General features: G+C 33.6%; 1 protein-coding gene and 1 pseudogene across 4 annotated transcripts in view; both read left to right on the top strand.

The window, feature by feature from the left end:
- The window catches only part of SLC6A15 (solute carrier family 6 member 15), a 53309-nt gene that overhangs the window by 1640 nt on the left and 24830 nt on the right, over window positions 1-26839 (top strand). For 3 of the 4 annotated variants that reach the window (NM_182767.6, XM_011538525.4, NM_018057.7), the window contains exons 2-4: window positions 18852-19328; window positions 25092-25249; window positions 25599-25725. In NM_182767.6, coding sequence (NP_877499.1) covers window positions 19040-19328; window positions 25092-25249; window positions 25599-25725 — 574 coding nt within the window. In that variant the 5' untranslated portion in view covers window positions 18852-19039. The remainder of the gene's footprint in view (window positions 1-18851; window positions 19329-25091; window positions 25250-25598; window positions 25726-26839) is intronic. The other variant, NM_001146335.3, reaches the window with a different exon arrangement.
- Window positions 17134-17287, top strand: LOC124903121 (uncharacterized; annotated as a pseudogene).

Genomic DNA, 26839 nt, shown 5'->3' with positions numbered 1-26839 from the left:
AGGAATTATTATGTGCAGACACAGCCCCAACAAGCCCCTCACCCACCCAACCTCATTTCTGCAAGATCATTGCTGAAACACAGACCTATTTATGTCTTAGGCGCCCAGTACTGGGCTTGACTTGTACGTTCTTAATAAATACTTAATGATGGACTAAATCTTCTTTGAACAGTGTTAGGTTTTGAAGGGAAGGCGAGGGTTAAAGACACACACACACACACACACACACACGGAAAGAGGGCGGCTCAACAGCAAATTCAGGCTTTCTGTCCAGCATAAATCCTACAGAAGTGGAGGACCAGCCTAATGCCGGAGCCCGCTGCCGCTTACAGGCTGGGGCCATTTATAGGTACGGGCAGAAGGGGTCTGAGCAGTATGGCTTGCTGCTCCGCGGGATATTAATAAGATGCTTCCATGAAGAGGCGGTTCTGGCTCTTGTTCCGGCGCGATGTCGTTCTGTTGTTCAGGGTGTTCCTTGGACCTTTGTCCAGCAAGATATGATAGGGATGTCTCTTTAGTTAGGCCTTTGTCCAACTCGTGGTCAGTTGGTTAGACGGGATGTTTCTCACAGCTCGAACCCCTGTGAAATGTTTCGCTTTCACCAAGGTCTGCAAAATAGCAGGGAGCTTACAACATGGTGCAGTTTGGACTAACAAACAGTATGTATTTTTTTCTCTCATATTAAATTCAAGATATTTGACCATCAAAATCAGGCGATTTTATTTTTATGTGTTGTTGCCTTTTCTATGGAATCATCAATGATCCATGTGTATTTGTTGTGGTAAAACATATCCCAACAAATTTAAAATGGAATTTATTAACCATTTTTCTCTAAATAAAGCTTTCAGTTTGTGTTTTTTTTTAGGATGACAGGAATTAATAGGATTTTTAAAGAAAGATAATCTTTTACTGTTGATAAGCTTTTCTTTTTTCTGATTGCACATTATATAGTTGATTGAAAAATTATTTTATAATTCTAATATAGTTAACTCGAGATGTAGTATTTTAATCGAATTAAGAAAGTTATTTTTATATGTTTCTAGGAGATCAGTACTCTATCACTGAATAAATATGAAATAATGCAGAATCTTAAAACTGGATAACAGTTATGAGAGATGCCAATAATCAGATGAGATGCCTTCCTTGTCACCTACTGAAACATTTAAAATAAGTCAGAATAGTTACTAAACTCTAAAGTCCGTATTCATAGTTACTACCTTACCCAGTGATCATAGTTGAAATTGTAAATATGCTTCTCTTGTCATAAAATATAATTTGTATATGAATAGGTAAGATATTTGCATTCTTTTTAACTCTGGGATTATATCATCTAGGAAATTGAATCATTGACTTAGAATAGCAGACCCAAAAGAGAGCTTGGTGGCTATCAAAAGCTCCTAAAAACTTTTCTTTCACTTCTCAATGGACCTCTCACCTTGTGGAAGAGTATGTTAATTCTTTATTACTACATACATATGCATGATAGGATATATTAGTATATTCTTATGCAGCTGTGCAGAGTAGATTTTGAAATGGTTTCTCAGCAGATAGTATTAATAAAAATCTACAGGCATAGTTGGATGCATGAACAACATTCAAGGTTACATAGCAGGAATCATTAGATTTATTTCTACTTTGCTTATCATACCACTCTTCTGGCTGTCTTTACTAAACAATTTTTGATGTATTTATCTGCTTAAATATTAACTTTGACCAGTAATGATCATCTCTTTTTCTGTGAACAACAAGCCCTAAAAATAAACTGGGATATAGGGCAATTTCAAATGCAGAGTATCACTTGACACAGGGCAGAGCTGTAAGTTGTGTTCAGCCTTGAAGGTCACTTTATTTCCTTGTGATTAATGTGCTAAGGTATCTTTTCACATAAGATGAATTGACTTTTATTTTTAAATAGAATGCATACTTTGGGAACTTTTTCACCTATCAGATTGGCAAAGATCAAAGAGATTATTTGTTATACAGAAGACAGTAGAAGAAAGCGGGCACTCTCATGCATTGCTGGTGGTAGTGCAAATGGACACAATTTTTATCAAGGGCTATTTGGTAATATTTATCAAAATTATAAAAGCTCATACCTTTTGATCAAGCTGTTCCAGTTCTAGGAATTTATTCTACAGATATGGAGATGCAAGATATACAAAATAATTTGTTGGAACATTGTAGTAGCAAATTATCAGTGATGATCTAAATATATGGTATACCATACCAAGGAATATCATACAGTAGTTTTTTAAATGAAGCTATTACATTGAGATCAAGAGTTTTGAAGAATTTATTAGAGTGAAAAACTAAGAGGTAGAATTATGCACATAGTAATAGTTGTGTAAAAAGAAGCAGATTGGGGGCTGGTGGGGAGAAAACACATATTAGCTTGAATATATATAGAGTGTTTAAGTGTGTATACACACATATATATATGCTTGAATATACAGAAAATATTTATTGAAGATTTTGGTTACTTATTGGGAGGTACAGATGGTACAGTATATTCTAGGGAGAAAGGGTAGGAAGATATATATATATATATATATATATATGTTTCTTTACTCTTTGCCCTTTAATATCTTATTACAGTATTTTGTATTCAAAATATAAATATATAAAATATTTTAAAGTAAAGACAGAGGCAAATAAACACCTTTGGTAGAGTTTTATTCATTCATCACATGCCATGGAATTAGTAAGGTACAAAAGTCAATGAGTATTTTGACGACCCCCTGATTTTTGTTGTTGTTTCTGAATTTACAAGAAAGCTTCCTCTTTCAAGAGTTTTAGAAATAAAATTATATTGGAGAAGCATATTTAGTACTTGATTCAATAAAGTTATTTAATTATACTAGCAAAAAAGGCATAATTTTAGGGTATTAAAAAAAGTCTTAATTTTGAGATGGGTGTTGAGTCCCATGTAGTTGGTAAGAAATAACACAGAGAGTTCTTGTGAGCTCTTGACAAATTTCCTGCAAATATAACATTTTGTAATAACTATATTAAACCTTCCTAATCAGAATATTGACATTGATACAGTTAAGTTACAAAAGAGTTCCATTACATAAGGATTAACTGTGTTGGCCTTTTATAACCACAACCACTTCACTCCAGTCCCCAGGCTCTCCTTAACTCCTGGCAATCTCTACTCTGTTCTCCATATTTATTTTTTGGTCATTGCAAGAATATTATATAAATGTAATCATACAGTATTCAATGTATTTGAATTGATGTTTTTTCACTCAGCATAATTTTCTGTAGATTCATCTAAGTCATGTATATTGGTAGTTTTTGCTAAATAGTAGTTAATGGTATGGATGTGCCAGAATTTATAACTATTTACCCATTGAATGACATCTGGATTATTTCTAGTTTAGGGTTAATGTAAATAAAACTGCTATGGACATTCCTGCATAGGCTTTTCTGGAACATAAATTTTCATTTATCTGGGATAAATGAGAACACTTGCTCGGTTATGTGGTAGCAGTGTGTTTAGTTTTTAAATGAACAGTCGAACTTTTCCAGAGTGTTTGTACAATTTTACATTCTCACCAGTAATGAATAAATGATCCATTTTCTCTGCATCCTTGCCAGAATTTGGTTGTCACTATATTTTGGCCATTCTGATAGGAATATAGCAACATCTCATAGTATTTTATATTTGCATTTACCTAATGGCTAATAATATCGAGCCTCAGTTCTTGTGCTTCTTTGTCATTCATATATAATATTCATTGAAATATCTCTACCTGTTTTCTTATTTTATTTATAATGGTCGAGTTTTTTTTTGTTTTTTGTTTTTTTTCGAGACGGAGTCTCCCTCTGTGGCCCAGGCTGGAGTTCAGTGGCGCGATCTCAGCTCACTGCAAGCTCTGCCTCCCTGGTTCACACCATTCTCCTGCCTCAGCCTCCCAAGTAGCTTGGACTACAGGTACCCGCCACCACGCCCGGCTAATTTTTGTATTTTTAGTATAGACAGGGTTTCACCGTGTTAGCCAGGATGGTCTCAATCTCCTGACCTCATGATCCACCCGTCTGGGCCTCCCAAAGTGCTGGGATTACAGGCGTGAGCCACCGCGCCTGGCAACGGTCGAGTTTTAAGAGTTCTTTATATATCCTAAACACCAGTCATTTGTGACCTTCAAATATATTCTCCCATTTTTAAGCTTTTTTTTTTCCATCCTCTTAATAGATTCTTTCTCATAGCAAAAGTTTCAAATTTTGGGGCCTAGTTTATCAATTTTTGTGTTTCTGAATCCTGCTTTTGTCATGTCTAAGAGCTCTTTGGTTAACCCTAGATCTCAAAGATTTAATCTGATGACTTGTTTCTTAAAGTTTTATATTTTCCACTTAAGTTTGTAATTCATTTTGAATTAATTTTTGTATAAGATATGAGATTTAGGTTCAGGGTTATACTTTTGCCTAGGGATGTCCAATTATTTCCCGAACAATTTGTTGAAAGAGCTATTTTTTTCTCCATTGAAATTGCTTTGGTACTTTTATCAAAAATTAGTTAGGCATATTGTGTGCACTTCTTTCTGGGTAGCCTCTTCTGTTACATTCATTTTTGTCTATCCTTTCACCAACCTCACATAGACTTCATTACTGTAGCTATATAATAAGTCACAAAATTCGATAGAATCATTCCTCCCACTTCATTCTTCTGTTTAAAATTGTTGTAGCTCCTCTAATTTTTTGCCTGTTCATATAAATTTTGAAATAATCTTCTTTGTAGAAAAATGTCACTGATATTTTGATAGGAATTCATTTAACCATATATCAATTTAGGGAAATTTGACATCTTTCTTATGTTGAGTTTTCTAATCCATGAACATGGCATGTCTTCCCATACATTTAGATCTTCTTTCATTTACTTTATCAGCACTTTGTAGTTTTCAGCAAAAATGTACCATCCAGGTTTTGTTACATTTTCGTGTAATTATGTCAGTTTAATGATTGTAAATGCTATTGCATTTTTAATTTCTGTGTTCACTTGTTTATTGGTAACATATGGAACTGTAAATGATTTGTGTATGTTTACCGTGTATTCTGTGACTTTTTTGGACTATTACTCTAGAAGGTATTTTTGTAGATTCATTAGAATTTATAATATAGACAATCAAAATATCTGCAAAAAAATTGAATACTGTATTATTACATTCATATAACATTCTTGAAATGACCAAAAAATAAGTATGGAGAACAGATTAGAGGTTGCCAGGAGTTAAGGAGAGCCTGGGGACTGGAGCACAGTGGTTGTAGTTAAAAAAGGCCAACACAGGGAATCCTTATGTGATGGAAATCTTTTGTAACTTGGCTGTTCTTCTTTCTTGATTTATGTGACTTATACATAAATTTGTAACTTGACTTTTCTTGTTTCTTGATTTATGTGACTTATACAGTTAGGCTTCTGTGTCCTTAGGTTGTGCATCCACAGATTCAACCAAATGCAGATGTGAATATAGTACTTGTGGGATGCAGGACCCACAGATGAATGTGGGACTTGAGCATCTGAGAATTTTGGTATTTGTGGGAGGTCCTTCAACAATGTCCCTTGGACACTAAGGGCTGACTGTATTTTCTTTTTCTTGCCTTATGCCACTACTTAGAACTTCCAATACTATGTTGAATAAGAGTGTGAGAGTGGACGTTTTTATCTTGCTTCTTATCCTGAAGGAAAAGCATTTAGTCTTTCACCAGTAAATATAATATCAACTGTAAATTTTTTGTAGATGCTGTTGATCAAGTTGAGAAAGTTTCCTTCTGTTCCTAATTTTTGACATTTTTGATCATAAATGGACATTGAATTTTGTCTTTCCTGCATCAGTAGATATAGTCATGTGATTTTTCCTTTAGCCTGTCATTATTGTATATCACATATTGATTTTTGAATATTGAACCAACCTTGAATACTTAGAATAAACCCTACTTGATCATGGAATATAATTCTTTTTATACATCACTGAATTCTGTTTTCTAACACTGTGTAAAGGAATTTTGTGTCTATATTCATTAGGAATATTGATCTGTAGTTTTTTATTTTTTACTATGATCTTTGCCTGGTTTTGGTACCTGAGTAATACTGCTTTCATAAAATGAAATACAAATTATTCTATCATCTTCTATTGCCTGAAGAGATTGTGTAGAATTGATGTTAATTCTTCTTTAAATGTTTGGTGGAATTTTCCAGTGAGATTTCTTTTGTGACAGTTTTAAAATTATGCATTCAACTTATTTATTAGTTATATAGCTATTAAATGTTCTATTTCTTATTGGCTAAGTTGTGGTAGTTTGTGTTTTTTAAGGAACTGATTGGTTACACCTCAGTTACTAAATTTATGTGTGTAGAGTTTTTGTTAGTATTCTCTCATGGTCATTTTGATGTCTGCAGATTTTGCAATGATAATTCCTGTTTCACTTACGATATCCAAGATGCCTTAAGCATGAAATTGACTTTATGCAGCTTTACATATGATTGACTAAATGTGGCTTTGAAAGTTAATACCTATTTCTATTCTAATACCTATGAAATCACTGTGTGTATTTAAAAACCTAAACCACATATCCTCTACATAGATCTAGCCACATTGTGAACAGGTTATTGGACAATATTTTAAATTTCAGTACAGTTTGTATAATTTTAGTTAAATCCAATACATAAGTAATCTTATCCATAGACAAATGTTTCAGATATCTATTGCTACACAACAAACCATTCTACAACATAGTGTCTTAAAATAATGACTTTTTAAAATCATTCTTCTGTGGGGTGGTTGGGCTCATTTGGGTGGTTCATTTGCTCTAATTGGTGTGTTACCTGGCTGTTCAGCTAGGGCTGGAATATCAATACCTTTGTTCTTATGCCTGGAGCTTCACTTCAGATGATGGTTGCTTGAGACTATTTCTCTCTCTCTCTCTCTCTCTCTCTCCCCCTCCGCCCCTCCCCCCTTTCTCTCCCTTTCTCTCCCTCTTTCCATGTGGGGTTTCTAGCAGGAGAAGCAGACGTTTTACATGGTGCCTAGCTTCCAAAAGAGGGAAAGCAGAAACTGCCAAGCTTCTATAGCCTTGGAACTTGCATAGTTTCACTGCTGCTACCTTCTGGTCAAAGCAAACCAAAGTTAACCCAGATTTAAAAGAAGGGAAAACAGCCTACTACAACAAATAACTATAAAAGATCAAACAACATTGTATAAGGATGTATGAACAAATAAAACATATTCAGTGCCTTTAAATTAATATTTTTAGAAAACATAGTATAAATTAGTTTAAATAATAGTATATGCCTCCTAAAGATGTGTCCAGTTCCTACTTCCTGACATCTATAAATGTTACCTAATTTGGAAGAAAAGTCTTTGCAGATATAGTATTGAGATGAAGATATGATTTCGGAAGATCCAGATGGGCCCTACATGCCATGACAAGCATCCTTATAGGAAAGATGGAGAGGGATGTTAGACTGAAGTAGAAGGAAGTAGGCAATCTGACTACAGAAACAGAGAATGGAGTAATGAGGCCACAAATTGAGGAATGCCAGCAGCCACCAGAAACTGGAGAAGGCAAGGTTCATGTTCTCCCCTAGAGCCTCCCGAGAAAATACCACCCTGGTAACGCCTTGATTTTGGTTGACTGTAACTTAATTTGGATTCTTTGGTCTCCGGAAGTATGAAAGAATACATTTCTGTTGTTTTAAGACATTAAATTTGAAGTAATTTTTTTTATTCTCAATGTTTTTTAGGGCATATTAGTATATTTTATTTTATTTTTTGTTATACTTTAAGTTTTAGGGTACATGTGCACAATGTGCAGGTTTGTTACATATGTATACATGTGCCATGTTGGTGTGCTGCACCCATTAACTCGTCACTTACATGAGGTATACCTTACGTTAATAAAACTTTGTCTTAAAAACTTTTTGTCTACTTCAGAAATCTCTAAAAGAATTTTGAAAGATTGTCTATCTTTGATTCACAGAAGTCAACAAAAATATACTCCAATTTATGGAAATTGCTTTATGATTATAATTAATTTTGAAATAATTACGATTTCACAGAAGGGTGCACATGGAGGTGTATGCACCATTTACTCGACTTCCCCACCACTAACATCTTATGTCAGATACGGTACTATATAAAAACCAGCATATTGATGCTGGTATAATCCATAGTATGTCCACGTTTATAGCTCTGTGAAATTTTATAAAATGTATACCTTCTTCTATCCCTTACCACAATGAAGATAGTAACCTGTGTGCCTTACCATATGATTCTCTCCTGCTACTCTTTTATAAGCACACCCATTTACCCTCTCCATCCCTAACTCTTCAAACCATGAATATGTTGTTTATTTCTATAATTATGTTATTTCACAAATGTTATATAAAAATTGTTATATATGTATTTCTTTGAAATTGGCATTTTTATATTGTTTTCACTGAGTATCATTTCCTTTAGGTACATGCAAGTTGTTGCATGTATCAATAGTTCTTTTTTACTGCTGAGTAGTGGTTCATGGTGCGAATGTAGCACAGTTTAACCATTCACCCATTGAAACGCATACTGGATAGTTTCCATTTTTTTTCTATTATAAGTAAAGCTGCTATGGACATTTGTGTACAAGTTTTGTAAGTTTTTTTTTATTTTTCTGTGATATATCTCTGAAATATAGTTGCTGGTTACTATGAGAAGTCTTTATTAGTGTTAAAAGTAACCAAGTTGTTTTTCAGAGTGGCTGTACCATTTTACATTTCCACCAGCAACATGTGATTGATTTAGTTTCTACATGTCCTCACCAATATTTGGTGTTATTAATTTAAAAAACAAAGTTTAGCCATTCTGATAGGTGTGTTATTTGTAGCCCACCTTTTGGGAAAAAAAATATACATTTAATGAAGTATAAATAGTGACTTGGTATTGTTATTTGTAAAAAAAGTTCCCTTCCTTTTGATTGGCTCTGTAATTTTTTATTTGATAGCTCAGTGCAAAAATTTTATGTAAACCAGGATACAATTTGCAAAATACATTTCAATTTATTGAATTCTATATTGTTAAAAATATTTCATATTATTCATCAAGATTATTATTTCAGTATTTCATGAAATCTCTTGATGAAAATATTTTTCCTCTATAATTATACCATAACTATAAACTAATTGGCATACGGTGACAATTTTTCTTGAGCATTACAGTATGGTCCAAATTTTGATTTTATTTGGATGGTCTTTATTTTTGTCCTATATTAGAAAATAGAAAAATGAATTTCATTTGAATCTATAAATAATTAAACATTTCATATTCAAATTAGTTTGTATTTAAATAAAACTTTTTTTTCAGTGAAATTTTAAGTTGTCAAAGACAGGGAGATAATTTACTAGTGTTCTAGTGCTTTATTATAGAATACTAAGCTTGTGACAAATGCCAAAAATTAGCCAGTGCAGATATATATGTTTGAGTCATCCATCATATATGTCAGATGCAGACACCTACCTGCTACTTCAAGTGTTTGCATATTTTCACTGGAAATGTTAATTAAAATTTAATATAATTTCAAAAGAGATTGTAACAATGGCTTGGAAGGTAGAAAATTTTGAAGGATGGAACAAGAATGGCAGAAAGTATTGAGTTAATTTTTTAGTGAACATATTATAGCAAGACTGGTCAAGATAAAAACAAAGAAAAAGACCTATTACCAATATCAGTAATAAAGATAAGATATGATGACGAATTCTATATGTGTTTAAAAAACTGTGGAATATTATAGAACACTTTAGGGCAATGAGTTTGGCACCTTACATAAAATGGACAAATCCTTCAAAAAGATGGCTTACCAAAAGTAAAACAAGAAAAGGAAAATCTTAGTAGCTGTATATCAATGAAATGAATTGAATTTTTAATTTAAAACATTTTCAGAAAGAAAACCCCAAGCCCAGATGGCTTTATTGGCGAGTGCTGCCAAACTTTTAAAGAAGAATGAAACTAATTCTACACATGTACTCTCAGAAAATAAAAGATAAATCATTTCAAAGCTTTCTAAGACACCACCAAAACCAGAGAAGCAAAATACATTATATATATATATACACACACACACATATACGTATACATATATACGTATATGTGTATGCATATATACATGTATATATGTATGTATATATATACATATCTATACACATATATACATGTATATATGTATGTATATATATACATATCTATACACATATATACATGTATATATGTATGTATATATATACATATCTATACACATATATACACCCACTTTCCTATGAATGTAGTTGAAAGAAAATCTATAACAAAATATAGCAGATTTATTTTAGTGATATATTAAAAAGTAATTCATCTTGACCAAGTGAGGTTTATTTCATAAATGAAAGATTGTTTTAAGATAGAAAAGCAACGAATGTGATACTCCATATGAATAGATGAAGAACTGATATGGTTATCTTAATAAAGGCAAAAATAATTTGTCAAAATTTAACACAGTAATTCAAACTAATGACCTCACTGAACTAGGAATATAAAGTAACTTCTCTAAACTAATAAAGGGATCTATGAAAACAATGTCCAATTAACATTGAACGTAGGGGAATATTGACTACAAATAACACCGAGACATAAATGAAGATGTTTGCCTTTAGCATTTCTAGTCAATGTTTTGGTGGATGTCTTAGCCAGTAAAATAAGTCAAGAGAAAGATATAAAAGTAAATAATTATAAAAATGAAAGTTAAATTATCATTATTGACTGATGACATGATTATGTAAGTGGAGGTCCCTCGGGATCTTAGAAAGATGCAAAACTTGATTTAGCATCTTTGTGGGCAGAAACCTATATTAAAAATCAGTTATATTGCATATACTAGCAAAATATAATTGAAACCTAAGAAAAGAATTTGCAATCATACCCCAAACACACATTAATCAGAAATAAATTTAACAAAAGTTGTGCAAGACCAATACACTGAAATCTCTGAAACACTGTTGAGAGAAATTAAAGACATGAAATAAATAAAAAGATACACCAAGTTTATAGCCTGGAAAACTCAATTTGGTAGATATCAGTGTTCCCCAAATAGATCAATGAAATCAATGTAATTCAATTTTAAATCCTAGTAGGCTGGGTTTTTTGTGGTAGAAATTGTCAAGCTGATTTCAAAAATTATGTGGAAATAAAAGAACCTAGAATAGGTGAAACAATCTTGAAAAAGAACACAAAAAGTAAAATGGTTGGGGTTAAGAACCACTGAGTTGGAAATTTATTATCATGATTTTAAAAATTTTGGATCTACTTTTAAGTGCTTCAAAATAGATTTATTTTGAAAAATATATGAAGATAACTAAAGCGATACAAAAAATGAGAGATTGAGAAAGAGGTAAATATAAGTTCAAATTTAAATACTGTAAAGTTCCCAACATATTTGTGTATTTATGTTCATATACATAGATAGATGAATGGAAATATAGCAGTAGTTTTTGATTCATAATTTGTAAGCCATTTGGGGTTCTTTGCAAGCTTTAGAAAGTGATGCTGGATAAGAGGCAAAGAAAAGTAATATTGGCAGTCACAGGAGCTCAAAGAAACAATGGGATGCTTGGCAATGAAATGGAAAAAGGAAAGAATGAAAATAGTTCTGAAAACTAGGAACCAATGTCCATGACTACGGTAGTATTTACAGCCTGGGCATAATGCCTTTGATGGAATTGGATGACATGCCTACTTTTTTATCACTTTGTGCCTCTCCTCAAGATTAAAACTCCAGGGAGGTGGAAACTAAGCAAATGCTGAATTTTTTCAAAGATAGTGGCAGTATTTTTTTTTCCTTTCTACGCATGCCTTTTGCAGTAGGGTTTTTTGTCCCTTCCATCAAAAAGTAAGGTTTATCTCTACTCTTGAATCAGTATGGACTTAGGTTTGAGACTTTCTTTGGTCAATGAGGCATTAGCCAATGTGAAATAGAGAGAGGCTCTAGTAGCACTTGTACATTGGGCTCACCTTTTCTTTTTGGCTACAGTTGGAAATCTGAGCTACAATATGAACAAGTTGCAGCTAGTATTTTGGAGAGATTACTTATAAGCAAACCAAAGTGCTCCAGCTGACAGCCTGACTTTTGCTAGAATGTCAGTTAGACCATATTAGAACACCTTCTTGGAACTGACAGATCACTGCAGTGCAGGACCGAATTCAAGAACAACTGATCATGTAAGCCTAGTTCACACTGCTAATTCAGAGAATCATGAAAGAATTAAATTGTTTTTCAAAGCCACTAAATATAAAGGAGATTTGATGTGCAGCCATGGATAACTGAGACAAACAAAAAGTTGTGTTAAGGAGAAAATTAAACATGCAGCATTGGCTCTGGACCTAACATTGTCCTTAATATTACAGAAGCATCTACAACAAATCAGTTATATTATAGTCTTAGTGTTGTGATAATCATAGTAATAAAAGAGAGAATATATTGAGTCCTCTCAGTGTGCTGACATTGACTTATGTACTTTATCAGTAGATAAGTATATTATTGTTCTCATTTTATAAATGAAGAAACTGAAGCACAGTTTAATAACTTGGCCAGGGTCATAAAATCATAAGTGACAGAGTTACAATTTGAACTCAGATAGTCTCTTTCTAAAATCTATGTATAAATATTTGGGACCAATACATGTCTTTTCACATCAAAACGTATTGATTCTTATAATGTCACATTACAATCAAATAAGAAAGATTATATGAAAACCTGAAGAGCTTGAGGTCATTATCCTCTTTTATATAATAAGTTGTTTTTTGTTTGTTTGTTTGTTTTTTAAGACAGATCTCACTCTGTCACCCAGGCTGGAGTGCAGTGGTACAATCTCAGCTCACTGCAACATCCACCTCCTGGCTCAAGTGATTCTTGTGCCTCAGCCAACCAAGTAGCTGGGACTAAAGGTGCATGCCACCAGGCCTGGCTAATTTTTGTAGTTTTTGGTAGAGATGGGGTTTCACCATGTTGGCCAGGCTGGTCTTGAACTCCTGGCATCAAGTGATCTGCCCATCTCAGCCTCCCAGTGCTGGGATTATAGGCATGAGCCACTGTGCCCAACCAAGTCATATTTACACAGTATCTATTACTTCCTACATGAAAGATGAGCATATTTTCACACTTTTATTTCTTTTTCTCCTCTCATTTCAATTTTTGATTTTTTTTGGTAATTTAATTCACAATTGTCCCCTGCACATAATTTCTATAAAAAGTAAACCATATTTCCTTGTTTAAATTAATGTTCACTTCTATTCTTCAACATGGCTCCTCTTTACTAAGATCTTTTACTTTGTTTTCTCTGTTTGGCTAAATTTTATGATTATGTAGTCTTTCCCTCCATACCCCACTCCTTCATCCCATAGGGCTCATCATTTCTCTTATGCTTAGGAATATTTGCCTGTGGCTTTTATAATCGGAATACAAATTAATTGGGTATAAAATTGGAGATCATATATTTTTCTCTTAGTTTTATTGAAATTAATGAATATTATGAGAAGTGTTTTAATTTCATCTATTAATAGATATTATGAGAAGTGTTTTAATTTGATCTTTCTACTTCTGCTTGAAATCCCTAGGAATTCTTATCTTGGTAATTTATCAGTGTTTACTCTTCTGTATTGTTATTATTTGCAAATACAAGTCTTCAAGCAAAACCTCTGCTTTTCTTTTAGTATTTTGTGTTTTATTAATTGTATTATTGTGTTTGGCTATACCAATTAGAAGTTTGTTGGATTACCTTTAGCTGACTTCAGTTTTCATTAGCTTTCTTCTAAATTACTTTAAGATATTTGTAACTTTTCATTTCTTTTTTGTGAACTTTCTTTACATCTGTCCTCCATGCCTCAGATATAGTTTCAGTAGTGTTTATTCTAGTTTCTGTTGTTTCTTTTTCTTTATTTTATTTTATTTTATTTATTTTATTTGAGACACGGTCTTGCTCCGTCACTCAGGCTGGAATGCAGTGGTATGATCTCTGCAACCGCTGCCTGCAAACTCTGCCTCCCCAGTTCAAATGATTCTCCTGCCCCAGCCTCCTGAGTATCTGGGATTACAGGCACCTGCCACCACACCCAGCTAATTTTTGTATTTTTTTAGGGGAGAGGGAATTTCACCATATTGGCCAGTATGGCCTCGAACTCCTGGCCTCAAGTGATCCACCCGCCTAGTGCTCCCAAAGTGCTGGGTTTACAGGCGTGAGCCACCACACCTGGCCTTCAGTTGCTTCTAATGTGACTTTTAGTCCTCTGATGAATTCTCCCATTTCTTGTGTTCATCCACTTACCTTTTTCTTTCAGTTAATCTTTTAGTTCACTTCCATGAAATTTATTTTAAATAAATGTTTTCTTTGTAACTCTGAAGCACATTGTTTCCTGGTGTATATTTATATTCTGTATATGTCTTTTGCTTATGTTTCTTCCTGTGTCCACTATCACCTCTATCTTTCCATTTCCATACACATATTTTTCATTATTTGGAACTACGCATTTTCAATAGGGAAATTTCTATATTGGAATATTTTTTGACATGGGAAGTAGTGCCATACAAATTGAGTGAGCTGGGGAACTCCACATTTTCAATTTAGATTTATTCTCTGAAAGAGAGGTTGGCAAATGTTTTCAGTGAAGAGTTAGTAAACATTTTAGGCTTTACGGTCCATAACAATAACTCTGTTGTTGTAGCACAAAATCAGCCATAACAAAATGTAAATCTACGGGCATGGATACGTGCCAACACAATCTTTTTTTTTTTTACAAAATACAGATGGTGGGTTGTATTTGGTCCATGAGCAATATTTTATGGGCATGGATACATGCCAATACAATCTTTTTTACAAAATACAGATGGTGGGTTGTATTTGGCCCATGAGCAATATTTTGTTGACTCCTGCTCTATTGTACAGTTGTAGACAGGAGGCTCTTACCAAATAATGATGAGGACAAGTATTACAACTCTTCGGTGCAGATGAAGTGCAGTGAGTGATAGCTTGTTCCTTAGTTGATTGTCTATCACAAGAATGGATGCTGCTAAGTTGGCAGAGATTGTGCTGTTACTTGATACTGATTCCACTACTGTCCATATGACCTATCGAGCACTGATACTTTATCACTCTATCTCTCTTCCTGGACATTTCTCTTCATTTCTTCTTCTATTCTCAGATGTAACAATTGTAATACATTTTTGGCAATTGCCAACCTCTCTTTTGATTTTCTTTTTTGTCTATGTTTATGGACTACATTTATGGACTAAGTTTTTAGGCGGGCTTTTAGAATTTATAAAAATGGTTATCCTTCAAGAAAGTTACTCTTAAAAATGTGAAATTGATCTGGCTTCTAAATTATTGTTGCTATACTTAGTTTTAATAAATCTCTTCAGAAACTAAATTTATCTATTTACTTTTGGCTGTATGAAAACTGTGCACAAGAAGTCAATTCTTATGTTCAGTGGGTGCATGGTCTTAAAGTAAAAATACAAACAAACTGGTCATGGTGGCTCACGCTTGTAATCCTAGCACTTTGGGAGGCCGAGGTGGGTGGATCACGAGGTCAGGAGTTCAAGACCAGCCTGACCAAGAAGGTGAAACCTCGTCTCTACTAAAAATACAAAAATTAGCCGGGCATGGGGACGGGTGCCTGTAATCCCAGCTACCCAAGAGGCTGAGGCAGAGAATTGCTTGAACTCGGGAGGCAGAGGTTGTGGTGAGCCGAGATCATGCCACTGCACTCCAGCCTGGGGGACAGAGTGAGACTCCATCTCAAAAAAAAAAAAAAAAAAAAAAAAAAAATACAAACAAAAATGAAAACATCTAAGTGCAAAATACTTGTTTAGTTATATGATCTTATTCTTTAAACCTTTCGGTTCATTCATTCAACAGACAAGTTTAAACATTGGTAATATGGGGGTGAGTAAGATAAACAATGTCATTCTCAAGGCAATAACTTATTTTCTCCCAGACTTACATGTTATTGTGAATATTTTAATGTTAATTACAATTCTTCCCCTATCTTCCTACAACCACCCCAGACAGACCAAGAAGTGGGACAGGGTAAGAAAAATAGTAAGAAAAGAGAGCTTAGATAATTTTATTTATAATATCATTAAGGATTCATTATAGTTTTTTGCTCATATGAGAAAAGGAGCTTTTAATGCATGCAAATACCCACTTCAACTCCCTTTTTAATAAGTATTTTATTTTATAAAGTTTGGCTAGAGTTGTTATACGATATCTGTAGTATATATTTATTTATATTCAAAGTGTTTATGATATAATATTACATTTAAAATTTGTTTACATTAGATACTGATTTTTTAAAATAGAAAATATGACCTTCAGGTAGTTTGATCAGAATATTTGAGTGTAAACTTTGCCAAAGGATAACTTATGTAAATTGGTGAGGATTATTCACTTGGTGTGTAAAAAACATGCAGTAGTAGCCAAAGGTATTACCTTTTATTTTGATTTTTGTGTGTGTATTTTTTGTCCAAAGAATATAAATGTATAGAAGAGATATAGTATTTTCCGTAAAAATTTGGGGGAGATTCATGGTTCACACTATTTAAAATTTTTTTTCTTTGTAAAATGTTGAGTGTTTTTACTATAATAGTATCTCTAAGCTTGGATACACTCCTTACTTTTCTGTCTGTATGGAAAAAGCAAAAGGAATAAGAAACCAAAGTTTATTGTGGGAACTGAGGTTAAGAGAGGCATAACTATCAGCATTTACACAATTAATAAGTTATAGTGCTAGGACACAACTCCAAATTTGTCAGACTAAAATCCATGCTCTTATCCATATATCACTTGCTACTATGCCAACACATTTTATCTTCAGATAATTTAATAAATGTAAATCTTTTTTCTGGATAATTCATGTCTTACAAATCACAATTTTTTATATGTCAGGTTGTTTTCTTCCAGCAAATACCATCTAGAAATTTGTTTATTTCAGTTTTTCAATGGCTATATTTATTAATGTATTCAACTAATATTTACTGAGCTGTAGGGGAAAATAATATAAATTAAACAGACAAAATGTCAAACCTCATGAATTATTTCCATATCAAAACTTTGTTGGCCTCTGTGAAATAGTCACTGTGATCGCTTCTCGGCCTTTTTGCTAAGATCAAGTGTAGTATCTGTTCTTATCAGTTTAAAATAATCACTGTGGGAAGTTTTACACCTATTCTGGAGATGTGTCTATCACTCAAAATATTTTGGGAATGCATCTCTTTCACAATTTTCTAAACAGTTTTCTCTTAATCTTCACCAAATCCTAAACGAGAAGTGTTTGCTCTTAGGGTATATATTTTAATTTTAAAACAACTAAACATCATCCCAACCTAAAGGCAACAAATTAGTTACATAGTAAGTTAAGTAATTTTTTTTCCACTGGGTTACCCAACACTTTGTCTTGCTCATTAAGATTATAGATTGAAATATGATAGCTGTTTTCTTTGACTTTTAATGTCAATCTAATAGCAGTTCTCTTAATAAATTCTATTTTATTCCAGAAATGAAGGGCGGAATTCTTGGGCTACCATTTCATAAACTTCCTAATTCAGATTTGAAGAGAAGCAGTCATATTTTTCAGTCACATTTTAACATAGTGTCGCTGGACTGTAGACATGTCTTATATATTTACTTGGTCTGTGTCTGAGTGGGGAAAAGGATAGGAGACGTAACATACAAATAAAGAAAGGAAAAAAAAAATCCCAAAGGGATTACAGTGTTTTTCCTGAGCTGTTAAGAGACTGATCACATATATAATGTACATTTTGAGCATTTCTTGTCTCATTTATACTTTTCCTTATGATTGGGTATGACCTCACTCCATTTATGCTCAACTCTAATTTTATCCAACATTCCTGATCTTTCCTGTTGTAATAATGTTGGGTCATTTAAATTCTGCACTACAGAATTGTTATTTGATGTACCTTTCTCTCTATTAAATATAAGATCCTTAAAAACATGCTTTGTACGTTTCATTGATTATTGTATCCCATAAAGCCTCATCACAATAAATATCAAATGGGTTGGGTGAGATCACTTATGCAATATAATCCCAGCACTTTGGGAGGCCAAGGCGGGATCCCTTGAACCCAGAAGTTCGAGATCTGCCTAGGCAACATAGTGAGACTTCATCTCTACAAAGAAAAGAAAAATAAAATTAGCTGGGTGTGGTGGTACACACCTGTAGTCCCAGCTACTTCTGGGACTGAGGCAAGAGGATCTCTGGGAGAGGTACAGGCTGCAGTGAGTCCTGATTTTGCCACAGCACTCCAGCCTGGGTGACAGAGTGGGACCCTGTCTCCAAAAATAAAATAAAATAAACTAGGTTAAATTTTTGAGAAGAACAATTAATATCAAATGAGTGAATGACGAATGTTTGAACAGAAGAGATTATATATGAGACAAATTTACAGCGTTGGTTTGCAATTGTGTTTATAATTCCACAAGGAACAAAATCAGGGATATATAAGAAAATATCTGCTTTAGTCAGGGAGGAAAAAATAAAGAATTAAGAAAAAGAGTCCTAAAAGTTTAGTTACTAATGAACAGAATATTCATTATGCATTGGAGTGTATCTGAGATTTTTGCAAGAAGGAGGATGTTAGCTAAGAAAATTGTATTTGAAGCTCATAAGTGCTTTAAAATTCTTATACTTACGGGAATATTAAGCTCTGAAATGCTAAAGACAGTTACATGTTTTATACTCTGTAGAAAGGGTTTCTATCATAAAAATAAAAAAGAATAATTCTGTATTTAAATTTTTTCATCATTAAATATGATCACATTTCAACTTATAATTTTACAGGTACCTACAGAATACTGGACATACGGATTCAGAATCCATAAGGCTTTATCACCTTGAATCAAGGATTTATTTGATATCATCCTCGGTCTTTACTTCCTATCAAGTAACATTGTTTTGAAAAATAGAGTTAACACATTTGCCATAAGGGAGTTTTTTTTTTTTTTTTTAAATACTTCGCATACTCTCCAATGCCCAAAAATAGCAAGGTGGTAAAAAGAGAATTAGATGATGATGTTACTGAGTCTGTCAAAGACCTTCTTTCCAATGAAGACGCAGCTGATGATGCTTTTAAGACAAGTGAACTAATTGTTGATGGCCAGGAAGAGAAAGATACAGATGTTGAAGAAGGATCTGAAGTCGAAGATGAAAGACCAGCTTGGAACAGTAAACTACAATACATCCTGGCCCAAGTTGGATTTTCTGTAGGTTTAGGAAATGTGTGGCGATTTCCATACCTATGTCAGAAGAATGGGGGCGGTAAGTAATCTTTTTAAGTGATAAATTACTGTAGTAAATTGCAATTGGGTTTCTCAAATAGCTCCTATTATTGCTGTTTCTCATTATTTTTGAAACTTTCAATTTCATTGTAAAGCTAGAGAAACCCACTTCTTTGTGGGAAGTGAGCCCAGATATGTTTTCAGATTACGTTTCCACAGGAGCAGATGGGCTTGCTGTGAATGCTCAGGGATTGCTTAAGGGTAACACATTCTCAACTTCTTTCTCCGGAAGCTTATTAAACAACTCTGAATAACTGAGTGAAACTTTTCTTGCATCGTTTGTGCTTGTAAATTATTCCCTTTGAAGAATAACCTAAAGCTTCTGATATATGACAATACTGGTGAAGGAAAACAGAGAATTTTCTCTCCGTGATTTATTAATTCTTAATTTTAAGTTGCCTCATTCTTCAAAAAATACAAAATGATATGTAACTTAGAATAATTATAATCTTCAAATGCTGATGAGAACATTTAGATCCCAGCAGAAGGAATGTAAACAGATAATACAATGCTAGACATTCTTCATTCTTAGGCATTTTATGCATTTCCTTTCCAGTTCTATGGGGGTATTTTGGAACAATGTTCCATTTCAAAGACAACTTTAAAGAAATTAGCAACCTTAATTTTAAACAAAATTATCTGCAACATCATTGCTATTCTTGCTATTAATATTTACATTTGTACTTATAAAGGCTTACTTAGCAAAATTATCTTAGAAGTCTAGGGAAAAAACTTTACAAAGGGGAAAATTGTTTACATATGATGCTAATTCTATAGTACACCAAAACCAAACTGAATTTAATTTAACTAACATTGGATTGAAATGTTATTATCTATGTATATGAAATATTATTATTTATGTACACGTACATGCTGTTAAAATAAGTGTGGCTGAAAATAAAATATTCCATAAGTCATGCATTTCAGGACACAAAGTATATAAAGAATATTTTGGTATTTGATTCTAGTTTGTGATAATTTTATTGACTGGACAAAAATATGGTTTATTTTTAATGTGGTTGTAATCTACAAACCCTACATCAAATAAAATAATAAAACCCATGCGTATGTAAATTTTTTCCTGGCCACTGAAACATGAAACTCTAAGATGTTATGGTGACAAAATATGTTTAAGATATCTTTTAGTTAATTCAAACAGGCACAAAACAAAAGGTTTGGAAAAAGTAGTCCATTTGGCAAATCTGCCTTAGAGGTAAAGATCGAACGTAGAGTCAGTGACGCACTGTGCATCCCTATACTGAAAATCTCCTTAGCTAGCCAGTAACCTCACACATGAATTATTTATTAAATCAGCTGTAAGCAACTATGTACTATCCTGCTTTTTGTTTCTCACAAATCATTCCATTTGCCAAGACTAGCAGAATATCAATTCTGGTTTTAAGACTTTTTTGCCTTGTAAGTCGTATTGACCACACTATTAAGGAGGATAGCTGATTTGGCTGAAAAGTCAGGTTGACTTCCATTTAGTACAATTTCTGTCTTGCTGGAGAGTGCTAAAAGATTTTATATGTAGTAATTGGTTCTTAGCACAAATGGCTCCTCCTTCTTATTTCCATATATTAAAAAAGTCAAAATATCTTTTCTAGTATTATTTCTTTTCTACTAAATGGAAATACTAGAAAGCAGTAGTGTACATATTATAAAATACCAACCGATTTTTCACTTTAGAATGGTTGTTACAGTACCAAAGATTGTACTCACCATTCAGTATGGCATTGAGTCTTCTAATTGTTGGAGGAATATCTTCTGACTAAACAACCAGAAGATAGTCCTCTGCCTCAGGCTATCAAAATCTTATTCATGAATCACTTAAGCACTTTTTGAGTAATAGAAAAAAAAGGTAATAGAGTCAATATAAAGTTTATTTGCCTAGTGATATTATCCTTTTAAAACACAATGGTTAGGCGAAGTAGGTGGTATAGTATAGAGACTTCCAGATCAGGTTTTGAAGTCAATTTCACTGTTTGAAGCCTGGTTCTTTTACACACTACCCATGTGACCTTTCACAGGCTACCTCATTTGTTCAGGCTTAGTTTCCACCCTGTAAAATAGGGTTAATAATTTTATCTATCTCCAAGGATTCTTATAAGGGATACATTAATAGCTACAGGTAATGTGCTTAGAAATATGGCTGGCAAATAGTACATGTTCAAATATATGTATTTAAAGCGTAACACATTTATTAAATCGTAGTCTTTCATGACATGGGAACTTTCAGAAATGAAGACCCAAAGACTCAGGGAAAACTGTTTTTTTTATTTTTATTTTTATTTTTATTTTTATTTTTATTTTTTTCTGAGACCGAGTCTTGCTCTTTTGCCCAGCCTGGAGTTCAGTGGCGCAATCTCTGTCTGCTCACTGCAAGCTCCGCCTCCCGGGTTCATGCCATTCTCCTGCCTCAGCCTCCGGAGTAGCTGGGACTGCAGGCGCCCGCCACCGCGCCCAGCTAATTTTTTGTATTTTTGGTAGAGACAGGGTTTCACCGTGTTAGCCAGGATGGTCTTGATCTCCTGACCTCATGATCCGTCTGCCTCGGCCTCCCAAAGTGCTGGGACTACAGGCATGAGCCACCGCGCCCAGGCAACTGTTTTTATGCTTAGATTACCTGAAGTATAGGCAGCCATATAGAAATGTGATTGGACAAAAGGGTAGATCTAGTGAGAATAGACTAAAGGAAGCAAACCCAGCAAGTCCTGTCTGTTCAGATTTTTCTTGGCCTCTCTGAGTGGCATTCCTTCCTCCTGGATATGAAACAGGACGTCTCCGGAATGAGGATCTTCAAGGGAGAAGGGAGAAGATGACCTTTCTAGGTTTTGTGGCTTGCTTTGGGGAAGAGGCATTCTAGTTTCTATGACCCACCTTGAGGGGAAGAAATCTTGTGTCTGTGACTTGCTTCAGGGACAAAAAAAGAGTGGGAGACAGGAGTAAAGAAAAAGGCCAGGAAGCCTTGGCTTCCGAGGTCCTTCCAATTTCCTTTAGTTCAAGGTATCCAGCATGCCAACGTGCCACGCTTAAAAGAAAAATTATTTCAATAGATTTTGGAGTAGAAGTGGATTTTTGTTACATAAATGAATTATATAGTGGTGAATTCAGAGATTTTAATGTACCCCTCACCCAAGTAGCATACATTGTACATAATATGTAGTTTTTTAACCGTATCCCCCATCCCAATTTTCCCCTTCTGAATCTCTAAAGTGCATTACATCATACTGTATGCCTTTGCATACTTACAGCCTAACTCCTACTTATAAATGAGAACATAAAGTTTTTGGTTTTCTACTCCTAAGTTATTTCACTTAGAATAATGGCCTCCAGCTCCATTCAATTTAATATGAAGGGCATTATTTTGTTCCTTTTTATGGCTGAGTAGTATTCTGTGGTGCATAATATCACCTTTTCTTTATCCACTCATTAGTCGATGGGCACTTAGGCTGGTTCCACATCTTTGCAATTGTGAATTGTACTGCTGTAAACATATGCATGTAAGTGTCTTTTTTTTGTTTTTGTTTTTGGCTTTTTTTTTTTTTTCGACAAGGTCTCACTCTGTCACCGAGACTGGAGTGCAGTGGTGCGATCTCAGCTCACTGCAACCTCTCCCCATCTCTGGACTCAAGAGTCAGTCTTCCCACCTCAGCCTTCCGAGTAGCTGGGACCACAGGCGCGCAGCCCACGCTCAGCTGTTTTTTTTTTTCCTTTGTTTTTTGTATTTTATTTTATTTTTTTAGTAGAGACGGGGGGCGTCTCACCATGTTGCCCAAGCTGGTCTCGAACTCCTGAACTCAAGCGATCTGCCAGCCTCGGCCTCCCAAAGTGCTGAGATTACAGGCATGAGCCACCGTGCCCAGCCTCAAGTATCTTTTTCATATAATAACTTTTCTTCCTTTGGGTAGATATCTAGGAGTGGGCTTGCTGGATTGAATGTAGATCTACTTTCAGTTCTTTAAGGGTTCTTCATACTGTTTTCTATAGAAGAATTTGAGATAGAAGAAAAGTCTAAGTATCCAACAGCATGTCACCCACACATGACTGGAAAAAAATCCCTAATGAGTTCAGTCATAATTCTTTCTCTCTCTCTTTTTTCTTACTCATTCACATGCGTATAAAAAATCCATTCATAATCTAAGATTTGATGCAGATGTTAAAATTCACTTTCAGTCTTTGGGAAAAACATTCAGGTCAGCAGTTCCTGAATGTTACTAATCATTTTAGAATTAGAATTTTGTTTTCTAAGCTCATGCATCCAATTTTTACATTGTATATGTAGTTTTGTTAGAATCAACTAAGAATGAAAGACTGAAAATCAGTCATAGAAAGGTTCAGATTATGTAGCAACCACTATGTAGGGAAATGCCTGGATATAATCATTATTACAGAGATAAACAGATGCTGAGATAAATAATTTGAAAAAATCCATTATTTCACTGCTTCAGCTGAATACAGTTACTCACTATGTATTTGTGTTCCACTAAATATTCCATTAAGACGATTCGAATAGCTTCAAAAATCTATTCAGTGCCATTAAACATATGATAAATATGTAGGAAATGTATAATAAAAGGCTCTTTATAGAAAATAGGAATTAGTTACCATTGATTGTAAGACCATTACATTTAACAGTATCTAGTTGGACAAAACTGCAGATTAAAAAATTGAATGTAAGAAGTTTAGCTAAGAGGTCATTTAATAATAATTTGCACATGTAGCCTCATGTAGGAACGACCTCCACAGGCTGAGGTGGGAAGATCCCTTGAGCTGGGTAGTTTGAGAATGCAGTGAACAGTGATCACACCACTGTACTTCAGCCTGGGTGACAGAGTGAGAGCCTGTCTCCAAAAGGAAAGAAAGACACAAAGAAATGAGTAAAGGTTTCACATTCATCTTTTTATAATTCAGTTAATAGAATCTTGTATTAACATTGTCAAACTATTTAGGTACCTTTTGAAATCACTAGTCATAGTCATATGTCTTAATTTGTGATTTAACTAAAAAATACTTTTTAAAATATGGAAATTTTATTACAAGGATAATAACATATACATTTTTACAATAGATATTAAATGTTTTAATTTCTTAATGACTCTCACTACCTTTTCTGATAATTTTGGAAAACAAAATCTATTTGTGTACTTCTTTTATGTAGTATTTATGGGAAAAATGACATTTGTCTCTGGTAGAAGTTATGTTGCTGTTTTTTTTTTTTCTTTTTCAGTCTAAGCAGACGTTTCTTCTTCCATGATGTTATTTTATTTGGAAAAAAAAGTCAACGTTAATGCCATAAAATCTCATTCACTCTAATTTTTCTGATTTAGAATGCATTATTTCAATGAGTTTGTATAAATTTTAATAAATGAGTTCATAAACATTGTGTGAATAAGATTTCTAGGAGTTTGTGAAACCTGCCCCAGAAAAGAATGAATTTTAAATAATCAATTATTTTTATGGAAAATGAAACTGTTTTACTCTTTAAATAAATTTAAGCTAAAGCTATTCATTAATATTCTTAATTTTATCCTAATTATTTTATTATCAGAAACTCTTTGTAGAAATCAAATTCAAGTTTCAGAATCTAGAAAGTGCAAAGTAATGAAATTGTGTCTTCTTCAGAGCTCTCCATAATTGCACTATATAGTAATTCAAATATTATCTTTAATGGGATAAACTGAACTAGTGTATTTTCTACTGTATTGAAAATATAATCTATTTTTTGTTGTTGTTTCTTTAGGTGCATATCTTTTACCATATTTAATACTACTTATGGTAATAGGTATTCCCCTTTTTTTCTTGGAACTCTCTGTGGGTCAAAGAATTCGGCGAGGCAGCATTGGTGTATGGAATTACATAAGCCCTAAACTGGGCGGGATTGGATTTGCAAGTTGTGTAGTAAGTTTCCTTTTGTTGGTGTATGCTGTAATCTTTATAGGGTTTCAAATTATATAATTAACATTTAAATGAAACTTTGGAGTGTGTGTTAATAAACAACTCTTTTACTATGTTTTAGAAAACGTTACTGGCATATGGATTAACTATAAATATTAATATAGCTCAATGTTGTTAATGCCTGTTCTAAGTCCTGAGAAAGACATTAACTTTTTAGAAAAGATAATGTGTCCCAAATAAATAATAAAATGAAGAGGATTTTAAAATGTTAAATAAAATTTTATGCATTTGATCTCATTCTTTTAATGGAAGAGGTATGAGAGGTTTAATGGGATATCATTTTATTTTGCAGGTGTGCTATTTTGTAGCTCTCTACTACAACGTCATCATTGGCTGGAGTTTGTTTTATTTTTCTCAGTCTTTTCAGCAACCCCTGCCTTGGGATCAGTGTCCTTTGGTGAAAAATGCTTCACACACTTGTAAGATATGTATAATACAGTGTTTTGGTATTTAAGCATTATAAGAGTGGCAAAGGTACAAGCTTTCAAGATTTTTTTCTTTTTAAAATAATGTAGAAACATCATTCAAAATTATCATTATAACAGACTTTGCTCACATTCAGGATTGACATACTCTTAGAGATAGACTTTTGGGACCATCTAATTTTTTTAGCTCTTTCCAAGTTACTTTACTATGCCCTAAGATATTAGGGTAAAGTATTATAAGCCTTCACTTATTAACTTTGATAATCTTTATTTTGTATGCCCTGATTGATGCCTTACATTTTCATTAAAACTAACAGAAAGGGGACAGAAATAAGAATTTGAATGAAAATAGTTGCTTTTATGTCTTTGGTTCTGTTGTTTCATACTTTTCCCATCATTTTTTTAAATCCCATAATATAATATAAATATTATAAAGAGCAGTCACCTATAGTAGTGATGTCTAGTAAACATAGATTGTAATGCACAGATATAGTTTATATTTTTCAAGTAAACATGTTTAAAGAAAGTAAAAAGAAATAGATGAAATATTTTACTTAATCTATTATATAAAAATACTATTTCAATATATAATTACTCTAAACATTATTAATATAATAATTCACAATAATTTTCTTATACTGAATCTGAAATCTAGTTCAAATTTCACATTTGTAACCCATGTCACTTTAGATTGGCCCCATTTCTAAAGCAACATGTGGCCAGCAGCTAGCATATTTGACAATGCTTACCCAGGGAGTCAATCCCATAATTCCAAGGGTAGTAGGGGTGATAAACCTGATTTGTTTAAATTACTTTGATAAGGGGTTGGGTGCGGTGGCTCACTCCTGTAATCCCAGCACTTTGGGAGGTCGAGGCAGGTAGAGCCCCTGAGGTCAGGAGTTTGAGAACAGTCTGGCCAATGTGGTGAAACAACATCTCTACTAAAAATACAAAAATTAGCTCGGTTTGGTGGCGGGTGTCTATAATCCCAGCTACTTGGGAGGCTGAGGCAGGAGAATCACTTGAATCCGGGAGGCAGAGGTTGCAGTGAGCCGAGATCGCACCATTGCACTCCAGCCTGGGCGACAGAGCAAAACTCGGTCTCAAA

The sequence above is a fragment of the Homo sapiens genome, chromosome 12 (genome assembly GCF_000001405.40).
Source record: "Homo sapiens chromosome 12, GRCh38.p14 Primary Assembly".
In the NCBI taxonomy this organism is placed as follows: Eukaryota; Metazoa; Chordata; class Mammalia; order Primates; family Hominidae; genus Homo; species Homo sapiens.
Note: the sequence above shows the minus strand (reverse complement) of the source record. Positions and strands in the feature narration are given on the sequence as shown.